General features: G+C 33.8%; 1 protein-coding gene across 9 annotated transcripts in view; it reads right to left on the bottom strand.

The window, feature by feature from the left end:
- Window positions 1–12,362, bottom strand: part of LUZP2 (leucine zipper protein 2) — a 585,586-nt gene that overhangs the window by 347,411 nt on the left and 225,813 nt on the right. For 6 of the 9 annotated variants that reach the window (NM_001009909.4, NM_001252010.2, XM_047426868.1 and 3 more), the window contains exons 2-3: window positions 5,942–6,059; window positions 3,040–3,110 (exon numbers count right to left, since the gene is read on the bottom strand). In NM_001009909.4, coding sequence (NP_001009909.2) covers window positions 3,040–3,110; window positions 5,942–6,059 — 189 coding nt within the window. The remainder of the gene's footprint in view (window positions 1–3,039; window positions 3,111–5,941; window positions 6,060–12,362) is intronic. The other 3 variants (NM_001252008.2, XM_017017648.3, XM_017017649.3) reach the window with 1 other exon arrangement.

Raw genomic sequence — 12,362 nt, 5'->3', positions numbered from 1 at the left:
TCTCACTCTTTCTCTCACATAAGTGCATACATGCAAACACACTCCTTTCTCTGTTTGTCTTGCTAGAAAGACACTCTACTTTCTCTCCACATAGTTGTATGTGGCCACAGCATAGCCCCTGAATTTACTTACAGCCTAGCTCCAGCTACACAGAAAGACTTATTAGTTGCCTCTACGTTACAGTTCCAAAGGGAGACACTAATTGATTGGTTTTTGTTTCGGTGGCCACCTCTGAATCATCAGCTATGACCAGTGGTTTCAGAGTCACATAAAAGAAGCCTGGCTTCTAGGGATCACTAGTCCAGATGAAGCCAGATGACAAGGATCTGAGGACAAACAGAAAACAAGGTAATAATTGAGAGCCAGGGATGTGACCAAATGGCAATGGCAAGCACACTGCACTCTTTCAAACTCGGAGAAGATGTTTAAATTTGCAATAAATCAGTATTTTTGATAACCAAAGGTGATATTTTTTCTCTTTTAATGTTTACTAATAAGTCAGATTTTGAAATGAGACACACAGTCTCTTTTACCATAATATACACACAATTTTTATATTTCTCTTTTTAGGTAAACAGCAAAAAACGAATGCATCACATCTTATATCCTTTTGAGAAGTTACCTTTTATTATAATTTATTGAGTCTTCCATTCTAACTTTGATTGTGTATATAATACAAGTTATGCATTTTAAACAAGTTTTTAATTTTAGATAAAACTATGAATTAGTAAGACCAAAATATTCTCCATTTTACCCTCTCTTTGAAAGACTTGTTCTATCATCTGGTAGTTTATATACTTTACCACATGTACACTTGATGATTAAAATTCTTAAACACCTATTCACATTTTTTTTTCCTGATTTTTGTGTTGTTTTTGGTGTCATGTGAATCAGACATAGATATTTTAAAAAAATATCAACAAACTAAGAGAATAGGTTTTCATTCACATCATGCATAAGCCGTCTCCTCATCCGCGTCCCTCCTGTAGTAAGGAAAGGCTGACTTTATTTTCTTTTACTCCATTGTCTTAACTCTTGAGATCTCCCTGTCCTTGTCTCTAAGTAGTGTTTTCTCACCCTGGTCTACATTTTTCTTTCTACCCTGAATGGGTTTGACAGAGTAATTTCCCTAAAAGCCAGGAAATAACACAATATTTCCCCTAAAAGATTTCTTTAATTATATTATTTCTTATGGAGCTACCTAAAAGGGATTCCCTATTTATTATCACTGAAATCCAGTATATGCCATCTTTTAGCCATTTTTATTTTTGTCTTTACATACAGATTTATTTTCTAATCTTCTCAAACTCACTATATCTTCCTCAGTCTCTCACTGGGTGCTGCACATGTATTGTGCAGAAATCAATTTTTGTTTTTCTATTTTTGTTTATTCTCCATTCCTAACCTGAGATACTCTATAAAAATAAAGTAATCATTTTCAGCATCTCTTGGTCTCTTTTCATGGTTTTTTTAAAATTTTTTTTTAAAAAATACAGTTTATTATTAACTATAGTCATCATGTACTAATTTCATCTAAGTTATTCCTCTTTACCAACTGAAATTTAATATTCTTTAGCCAACATCTCACCACCAACACTCTCCCCAGCTACCTCTGACCCTGGTAATCACCACTCTAATCTCCAGTTCTTTTATATCAACTTTTTTAGATTCCGAATAAGAGTGAGATTAGGTGGTATTTGTCTTTCTGTGCCTGGCTTATTTACCTTAACATAACGTCCTCCAGGTTCATCCATGTTGTCACAAATGACAAGATTTTCTATTTTCCGACTGAATAATGTTCTACTATTGCTATTCAAAATGTTGCTTATGTCCTCTATCACTACTTCACAGAGCCACAAATACTGGTGTAATATTGAGCATGATTTATTTCAAACCAATGAAATAATTAAAATAATATTGTTTCAGAAACATGTTCGGATTGCTCTTTTCAAGTTTTTCTTAATATTAGACTTTAAAGAGAATTTCACATTAAATAAATAATAAACATGTCACTATAAATAATAATAAGAGTCCATGTAAAACAATTGATTTTATATTTTTTAATAGATATCATTGGCTCAATCCAAATGCATGTCAATAATAGAGTTTTGAATTTAGAACCAAGGTCAATGGAGGACATATAGGCTGATGAGAAGGGACTTAGAATCTATTCCACATGCTATCTTGTGTGTAAACTTTGAAACAGTTTTTTGCGTTGTGATCAGTGAGCCAAACTGGTAAGGTGGAGCTGTAGGGTAAGACAGAGCAGATTTTAAATCTAAATTCCAATTAACGTGATTCTCAGCAATTCCACTAAGCACTCTGAGCAACAATTTGCCATCTACAAAATGGGAATAATAGCCACTTCACAAGGTAGTTGTGAAGATGAAACAAGAAAATATATACAAACCTACTAGAAGGGCTGCTAGTAAGTGTATAGCAGACGTAAAGTTGTTTCCATATTAAAATACTTGTTTTTCTTTTTTTGGCTTGGAAAAGCAATTTAAAAATCGTATGGCTTTTTATAATTTACACAAGTATATTTCATAATATGCTTCCCTCAAAAATAAGCAAACCAATACTAATAATATTGTACTGATTCTACTTGTATTGTTAGTAAGATAATTCCATTCTTTACCACCACATCATTATTACCATGATCAAGTTTGGATTGTATTAAACATGGTCCATTTAGGTCAATATTATCAAATCTGTCTATTGATGGTCAGACTTACCTGGGTCCATCTTACTAACTGAGGAAAGTATTATACCTCCCTAACATTCAAATTGTTATTTGCAGACAAAAAGCATCAGCACCACCATCACCAAAGAGCTTCTTAGAAATGTGGAATCTCAAGCCCACCCCAGTTGTGTAAGAATCTGCATTTGAACAAGATTCCCAAGTGAATTGCATGCATATTTAAGTATAAGTGAAAAGATAAATAGGTTCATATATTTAGAATCAATAAATTTTGTGAAGTTTCTGAATGTTGCTTGACACTATGGCAGAAATAACTAAGAAAAAAAGAAAAGTCTTACCTTTGTTTCTGTCCTAATTCCAGAAGTTTCTGAACATCAGTTTTGGCAGACTGCTCATCGTTTTTTAAGGACTGATAAGAAAAGTGGAAAAATGAAGTTTTATTCAGGTGAGAAATTGAGACTCACTTTAACTTTGGTTCTAGAGTACTAGATAGGACTGCACATATGCCCTGGAACAAGAATTAAAAATGAGTCTATGATGGTCCTCACGGCTCCAAGGATGTAAACAGAAATTTATGACACCCAACTACACAGTGGCTGAAAGGAATTGAGCAGTCTTGGCTTTCAGAGGTTCGATGGAGGAGAAACTACTCTCCAAATATCTAGGTCTCTTTAAAAGTGAATAAAAAACATATCTTCTATTCATTCTTTGAAGTTTTACTGTGTTCTCTGCAGGCAAGTTAGACCAGGTCTGGCACAGCTTCTACAAATATTAGGGAACATAGCAAACCTCCCTGCATAAGTCAGGAAATAACACAATTCAAGATTAAAATAGTCAAAGGGCATGCACCTGTTAGGTTTTGTTGATTTCTTATTTATGAGTAATACATTAAGACACACACAAAAAAACAAGGCCATGTAAAATTGTAACTGGTCTCTATAGACAGAATATTAACAATAAATTATGTATACTACTTCAGTCCTTAGTGTTTATATACTCTGGCAAATTCAGAATTCAGAGACTATGAATTACAGCAGAAAAGTCTCCTGAGCTTTTTCTTGCAAGAGAATCTATCCTATTAAGCCTTCTCTAATAACTTTCTTATTTATATTCAATAAACTAATTAATAGGGTAACCGGTCATTCTTGGCATTAAAGTCAAAACTAAGAGGCAAGAATATTGTTTGCAAAAGAATAGTTGTGACTGGTAGGGAACTGACAATAGCAAAAAGGGCAAACACTTGTTTACTTAATATTTATTTAACAAATATCTATTATGAATCATGCAAAGACCTACGCAAAGTCATGGTACCTGCCTTCATACATTTTTTAATCTAATGTTGAAAATCAACAATTTTAATGTAGTATGATAAGTATTATAACAGGAATGAAGTGGGATGAACTTTACAAGACAAACCTCTTCCCTACTGTAACTGGCTGAGGTTATCATTGGGAAGCAATCAATAAACAATCTTATTTATATGAAACAGTAGCTTCACATAAATACAAGGAAAGCAAAAAGAAGAATTAAAATGTAAAAAAAATAATCATTCACAGGAGTTAAAGTTCAAAGTGTATCATGGTCTTATGACCTGGCACAAGTCACAAAATCAGCCTTGCACAATGGCAGCCAAAAAAATAAGCAAAAGGCATTTTAAGAACTGCAGTTATGTTTAGTGGTAGGATTGTTATCCTTTCAGCAAATGTAGCTCCATAAAATTGTATATTGGTATCAAGCAACTTTCTAGACTGTTATAAGATGTCTTGCCTTTGGCTACTGGCATAGAAAGGCTGAGTATTCTGGGAATATTGTAAATACTGATCACATCTGGGCCTTTCACGATATGCTTTCAATATTCTCAATGTGTCAAGTGTTCTATGCCTCTGAGAAGGTACAGGTTTCTTTGTATTCTTCCCAGTCTTATTCACTTGGTGAATTTTCACTTAACCACAAACTCAGGCATTGGCTTCACTAGAAATCAATCTGTACTTCTTTTCATCCTTGTGAGTTTTCCCTAATGCTCTGTGCATGCTTCCATCATAACACGATGATTCCTGCGCTGTTTTCATTCTGATACCATCTCTGTGTCCTACTGGGTTGTGTATAATTTTTTTTTTTTGCTCTCGTTTCCATCTTCTCCATATGTAACACATCTTCTGGAAGAAGAGCTTAGATATTGACTTTAAATACCAGCTCTGTCCCTTAACTATCTGTGCACTCTTAGTTTGTTAACTTTTCTCTAATTCTGTTTTCTCACCTATGAAATGTGACTAACAGTCTTCATGTGAAAATTAAATACAAATTGTAGAAAGAGTATCTAGCACTGGACCTTGACCATGTTCAATAAGCCTCAGTGGCTACTAATACCACCACCACCACCACCACCACTACCACCATCATCATCATCATCATTATCATTATTATCATCTTAATGGGACTAGAAAGCTAAGGAGAAGAGTGTGGACAGAAGCGACTCCACATGGTTTAAAAACATGGTTCAGTTCAGTAACTAATAGTGTCTGGAGCTAGATTGTCTACATGTAAACTCTGGCTTCTTTTGTAACATTCAAAAATAACATATCTTTCCTAAACATTATCTCTCATGTGTAACAAGGGATGTCACAATAGGATCTACCTCATAGATACATTACAAGAATTAAACCATGTAACACATACAAAGCTTTTAGCATACAGGATATAATAAATACAATGTTTATGTCAAATATTGCAATATATTATCAAATATTTATGAAACTATTTTTACCCTATGTAGAATTTTTTAAAGATTTCAGTATGTTAAGATGTTTTTTACAGATGCCACTTGCCTTTTAAAGGCATTTACCTATTTCAGTAATGTGGTTTATTAAAGAATCTTAAGAATTATCCCGTGGGGAATTTAAAATTCTCTTCTAGGAGTCATTCCTATATTTATTTAAGTCTTGATCATAATTTGTCATTTTATAATACCAAAAACACAGGGGTCAAACTGATCTTAGAAGCTTGAGGAATTGATGGCTCTGCCAAGAACACAATTTTCCCATTTCTGTATTTGTTAAACACAGATTCCTAGACTATATTTCAAATGACATTTCCGTTTAGGGCACATATAATAGTAAGTAACAACCACCATGGTCAAGCCCAGAAACACATTAAAAACTATTTAAAAATGCATGTCAATCCACTCAGAAAATCAGATGACTGCTCCTCTTTTACTGCTCGGAAAATGAGTTCTCATCTCACCTGAAGATTGACTTTAATTCCATCAAGTTCTCTTGATGTCTTTGTCAGCTGACGAAGAATGGTGCTTCGCTCCTTAAAGACTTCTTTCAGCTGCTTTTCTAGCTCTTCATAGTCCTGTCTAACACAGAAAGAACAGGCATGAGAGCCCCCCAAATGGTTCCACTTGGCATCAGTCATAATCACTAACACTCACAGTTTCAGTGAAATCTAGAGAAGTTAAAACCTCAATTACTAAGATGGTTTTGTTGTCATGATTTCATATAAAAGGGGAAAATTGAAAACCCCATTTTATAACAAAAGTTTCATTTCCCAGTGAGGGCTAGCTATACTCCAGATATCTATGACATAGACATAGACATCTATCTATGTCTTCCCTGCTGCATGTAAGACATGCCTTTCGTCTTCTTCCATGATTGGGAGGCCTCCCCAGCCACGTGGAATCCACTAAACCTCTTTTTCTTTATAAATTACCCAGTCTCAGGTATGCCTTTATCAGCAGTGTGAAACGGACTCATACAGACACTAAAGAAAATAAATGTTGAATTTTTCAAAAAGTGAATAAATATCAGAAGGTTTGGAGTTCTAACTGGGGAGCAGGAGATTTGCTGCTGAAATGTGAAATGACTACTCATTTCAGAAGACTGTTAAGTGATAATTGGGAATTTGGGCATTATTTTGAGAACAAATGAAAGTAAATGAGATGTTTTAGTCAGTAAATGGCAAGATCAGATTTATGTTTTGGAAAATTTTCCCTGGCTGAAAACTCAGGAGTGAATGGGAGGAGGGAAAAAAACAGGAAAACAGGTGACTGTTAAGAAAGTTACCATTGCAATAGTCCAGACAAAAGATTACGCTGGCCTAACTAGAGCAGAAGCAGGGGAGGCAGGCAAACTTGGATTGATTTCAGCAAAACATACAAAATGGAATTAATAGTATACTGTATCTGTATGTGTAACTGTGTGTGTGTGTGTTTGTGTTTAATTCTTTTGCCTGTATGTTGTGGAATAAGTGTAGAAGGGAGCTATTTACTAATGATGCCAGGTTTCTGGCTTAGGCAATTTTTGGACACAGCCCTTCACTGAGAGGGAAGTCAGGAAGAACAGTGTTTTTGGTGAAAGATGGGTCGACAAGTTCAATTGTAAAATTGTGGGAAAACGGCTCAAATTCTCTCAGCTTTAGTTGAGAATCTGTAAAATGTAACAGTTAACTTACCCACATTTTCATGTGTTAAATAGGGTAATTTGTGTAAAGCATTGAACCCATGATAGGTAATTAATTGAAAATATATACATATATAATTTCTATTACTAAGAAATATGATGAATTTATAGTCATTCTGCAGAAATATAAAGGAACTAGATCTCCTAATGGCCTTAGTGATGATTAATACGTTCATCTCATCTAGAATAGACTTCTATTACAATTTTTTTCTTTTTCTCATTTGCTAAATATAGGTATCTAGCACTCTTCACATTCTTCTCATTAAAAGGAAATCGGAATGGCCCATTGCTAAGAACCACAATATTCTCGCTGGCCTTGTGAATTTCACTGATGAACAGTAGTCAACCAGTAATCAGACAATTATTAATGCCCCAAATTTCCATTCAGTCTCACTGGCAAAGTTAAATAATAAACAGCAAGGCATGTTTTTATTTCCTTCCAATTTTTAACCTTACTTTATGCCCCAATTTGTTTCTCCTGAACAATAAACACATCTCCAAAATCATCTTAAGTGACCATAATTCATAATAGTAGATTATATGTATTGACAGGTTATTATATATGCTGTCATATTATATATAGGGTTAATAATAGTGCTTTTCTCATGAATTTGTTCTGAAGAGTAAATGAAATGACGTGCATAACACATCCGTACCTATTTTATAGGCACGGAAATTAAGTCACAAGAGTAGTAAATAACTTCTAAGGACATGCTATTAAGAAAGTGGTGTATCAGTGAGTCTCCAAAGCCTAATATCTTAACCACAAATTTGAAAGAATATACTGATTTGGCTATGAGTTTATCAGTTAAATGTTCATTGCGTCCTTCAAGAACTTACTGTATATTGCTTCTTTCTTCTCTATTACGCAAATAAATGTTGACTTTGTTTACTATATTTATTTTTAATTAAATTACAAATAACATTTCCCTTTTATAATATACAACATTGTTTCATTTCACCTTCATATTTGATTTTCAAATAATGTTATGAAGAAAACAGAACCAATTTAAATCTCTCTATTTTCTGGTAAATACATTGGGAACCATGAAGAGGCACAAGTTATCAGGAAAATGTTGGCAGAATTGTTAATTAACAGTACTACTTTAGATTCAAACATTTAAGGTCCTTATGTAAGAGGAAACCAAATTACACTGCGGAAGTAACCATAATGAAAGTATTGGCTAACATTTTATTGGATTTTCTTCCATTTACAAATGAGTGTATGTTCATCTTCTAATAATTTTCTCTTGCTTACATGAAAAGTAAATGTGACCCTCCTACACTCAGGTTCTGTAACTGGCTTCATATGTCTTAGAGCACTTTCCATGTCTATATATTACTATCCATTTTGGTTGTACTTGAATATATTTTTACCACTGATAATTTACGGTGTTTCCAATTTTTTCTTTCTCTCTTAAAAATTAATAAAGTGTATATATGTGGACACAAAAGAATTCCTGAGTACTTCTGTGATATAAGTTTCTAAAAGTGTAAATATTTCACTAAAAGTCAACATGTTAATTTTTTTTGGTGGGGGGAGTAGGGTGGGAGGTCTGGCTTCAGTGCCCATATCTTGTATTTATTTTTTTTTTAATTTTTAATTTTTGTGGGTATTTAGTAGGTACATGTATTTATGGGGCACATGAGATATTTTGTGTTAGTTTCAATATGTGCTGGTAAATTGCCTATCAGCTATTCTAGCCTATAATTTTCTTAGTATCTTCTGGTGTTCTTCACACCTTCACCTAAACCAGACTGTCTTATCTCCCTTTTTCTTAAAAGAAAATTTGCTAATGGCATGAGTGAAAAATGATACCCTCTTTCTGATGTAATTTGTATTTACTTTATTAGAGATTGATTATATTTTCATAAGATTACCACTTGTATTTCTTTCTCTGTGAATTATCTGTTTATATGTTTTGCCTATTTAAATTTTGAGTTAGTTACTTATTAGTTTTCTAGGGCTTCCATAACAAAGTAACTAAGACTGGGTACCTCAAATAATAGATATTTCGTCTCACAATTCTGGAGGCTAGAAATCCAAAATCAAGTTGTTTGTAGGGCTGTTTCCTGTGAGGGCTGTGAGAGAAGGATCTGTCTTAGGCCTCTCTCATCAGCTTGCAAATGGCTGTCTTCTCCTTATGTCTCTCCACAGCATCTTCCTTCCCGGTGTATCTCTGTGTCTAAATTCCCCCTTTACATAAGAACACTAGTCATATTGGTTTAGAGTCTGCCCTAGAGACCTTATTTTAACTTTATTACCTCTGCAAAAACTATCTCCAAATGAAGTTACATCTAATGTACTAGAGATTAAGATTTCAACACATAAATTTGGAGGCACATATTCCAACCTATTACATTTACCTAATTTATTTGGAAGATTCTTGTCCACTCTGGGTTTTAGTTCATTGTCATTATATGGATTTTTTTTTCATACCTCTTATTGGTATTTACATTTACCCCTCTCCAATTTCTTTTAAATAATTTATTTAGATTAATCCTTTTTCTTTATGGCATCTGGACTATTCTTAGGTTTCTCCAACCCATGTTATTTAAAAGTTTATGTACATTTATAAAAATGTATCAATTTTTAATTTTTACTAAACTACCCAATTGATTTTTGTATCTACATATAAACATATATACAAATATATATGTATAGTAGGAAGGGGTACTATAACTTAAATATGGATAGCCAGTTGTCCTAACACGATTGGATACAATACTTCCCCTGCTGATTTTAATATGGCACTTTTTGATGTAACAAATTTTTTTTTCTAAATGTTTTTAAATTCTGTATTCGGATTCATTTGCTGTCTTCGTGACATGTCATGATTTAATTATTAAAACTGTGTACAACATTTTGATACTTCTTGGATTCATCCCCCCTATTGTTTTTGTTGACAGTTTCATTGGCAAATGTTCTCTTTTGTTTCTTCTGAATGAATTTTAGAATAAGCATGTCAATTTTCTGTAAATTCCTGCAGGGAATTTAATTGAAATTGCATTTGCATTATAATTATATTTAGGGAAATAGATAACAATCACACACCTTACCATCCAGAAATATACTCTCATTTATTATGCCAGTATGTTTTTATAATACGGAAATTCTTTACATTTACTCATTTTTTGTTAGACTTATTGCTACTATTGTGGATGGGTTTCTCCATTTAATTGTCTAAATAGATATTGCTAGTCATCTTTAAAGTTACTGTCTGTAAGTTGATTTTGTTTCCAGATACCTCACTGAACATCTTTATTAGTTGTCATAGTTATTCAGTTTATTCTGTTGACTTTTTAAAGTGGTAGCAATAACTTCTTTGAATTGACCAGTCATATCTTTTTCTAATAGCTACAGTTTTATTTCTTTTTGTTTATTAATCATGTTGCCTAAGACATTCAAAACAATGTCGAATAGAGGAGGTGATAGAATACCTTCTGTCTTGTCCTTGACTTCATTTAATTTAATTAATTGATTGATTGATTTTTTGAGACAGGGTCTGGCTCTGCCACCCAGGCTGGAGTACAGTGGCATGATCTCGGCTTACTGCAACCTCTGCTTCTTGGCTCAAACCATCCTCCCACCTCAGCCTCTCAGTTAGCTGGGACGATAGACACACGTCACTACCCCCAGCTAATTTTTTTCTATTCTTAGTAGAGAGAGGGTTTTGCCATGTTACCCAGGCTGATCTCGAACTCCTGAGCTCAATCGATCTGCCCTCCTCAGCCTCCCAAAATGCTGGGATTAGAGGTGTGAGCCATGACCCCTGGCTTGTCTTTGACTTTAAAATAAAAAGTTATGCTTCATCACTGAGTACCATATTTGTAATTTTCAAGTGATACTATCTTTCTTAGTCCATTGTTTTCAAATATAAACTGTATTAAGATACAGCATTCATGTAGAAAAACAAAAATCCCAAGGACACACTTGAAGTATTGCAAACTAAACACCTCGGAAATTTAAGAGATAGAAAACTAACCTTAGAAGCTTTTCTTTGACGGCACCCATTCATTACCTTTACCCTCCTCCCAACATATAACCAATATTCAGACTTCTGTGACTTAAAATTATTTGCTTATGTTTGAAATTAATACACATATAAATCATATACATCAAATGTCTTTTGCTTGATTCATTTAATATGATATCAAGTTTGTAAAAATTTTTCATATTTTACCCAAAGTTTAATTTTTATTTATTACTTTTTATTTTTCATTTTTCATTTTTCAGAGATAGGGTCTTGCTCTCTCACACAGGCTGGAGTGCAATGGTGTAATCATAGCTCACTGCAGCCTCGAACTCCTGATCACAAGCCATCCTCCCACCTCAACCTCCCGAGTAGCTGGAACTATAGGCACACATCACCATACTCAGGGCTAAGCTTTTTTAATTTTTTGTAGAGATGGGGGTCTCATGATGTTTCCCAGCAGGGTCTTGAACTCTGGGCTTCAAATAATTCTCCTGCCTCAGCCTCCCAAAGTGCTGGGATTATAGGCATGGGCCGCCGTGTCCAGCCAGTTTATTAATTTTTAATACTGCATAGTGTAGTGGTGAATAACTGTACAGCAATTTTTTCTAGTGTTGATAGACACTTGTGACTTTTTCCAGTTTTTGAATATTATGAGTAATGCTGCAATGAATATTTCATATGCTTTGTGGTTAACATATAAACACGTTTATGCTGGGTATATATCTAAGAATGGAATTGCCGCATCATAAAGCACGCATATGTTCTACTTTAGCAAATAACAGCCAAAAAATTTTTCAAATTAGTTGCAGGGTAGGAGAGGTAGAGAATTCCAGTTGCTTCATATTCTTATCCACACTGGTATCATTAGTACTTGTTTTTAATTCAGTAACTCTAGTAGTGGTGTAATAGCATCTCATTTTAGCTATAATTTGAATTTCCCTGGTTGGTGACTCATAAAGGGAGGATGTTACTAAAGGTGATTTTTATATATCCTTTATAAAATGCTCACTCATGACTTTTGCCCTTTTTCCATTAGTTTGCCCATTGCTTGTTATTGATTTGTGGGAGGTATTTATACATTCCACACATGAGCCCTTTTATGATTAAAAGTATTAAAATAATTTCCTATTCTGCTGCTTGAATTTTGAATCTCTCTCTCTCTCTTTTTTTTTTAATATGAGGTCTCACTCTGTTGCCCAGGTTGTAGTGCAGTGGCATGATATC

Source organism: Homo sapiens, chromosome 11 (genome assembly GCF_000001405.40).
Source record: "Homo sapiens chromosome 11, GRCh38.p14 Primary Assembly".
Taxonomy (NCBI): domain Eukaryota; kingdom Metazoa; phylum Chordata; class Mammalia; order Primates; family Hominidae; genus Homo; species Homo sapiens.
Note: the sequence above shows the minus strand (reverse complement) of the source record. Positions and strands in the feature narration are given on the sequence as shown.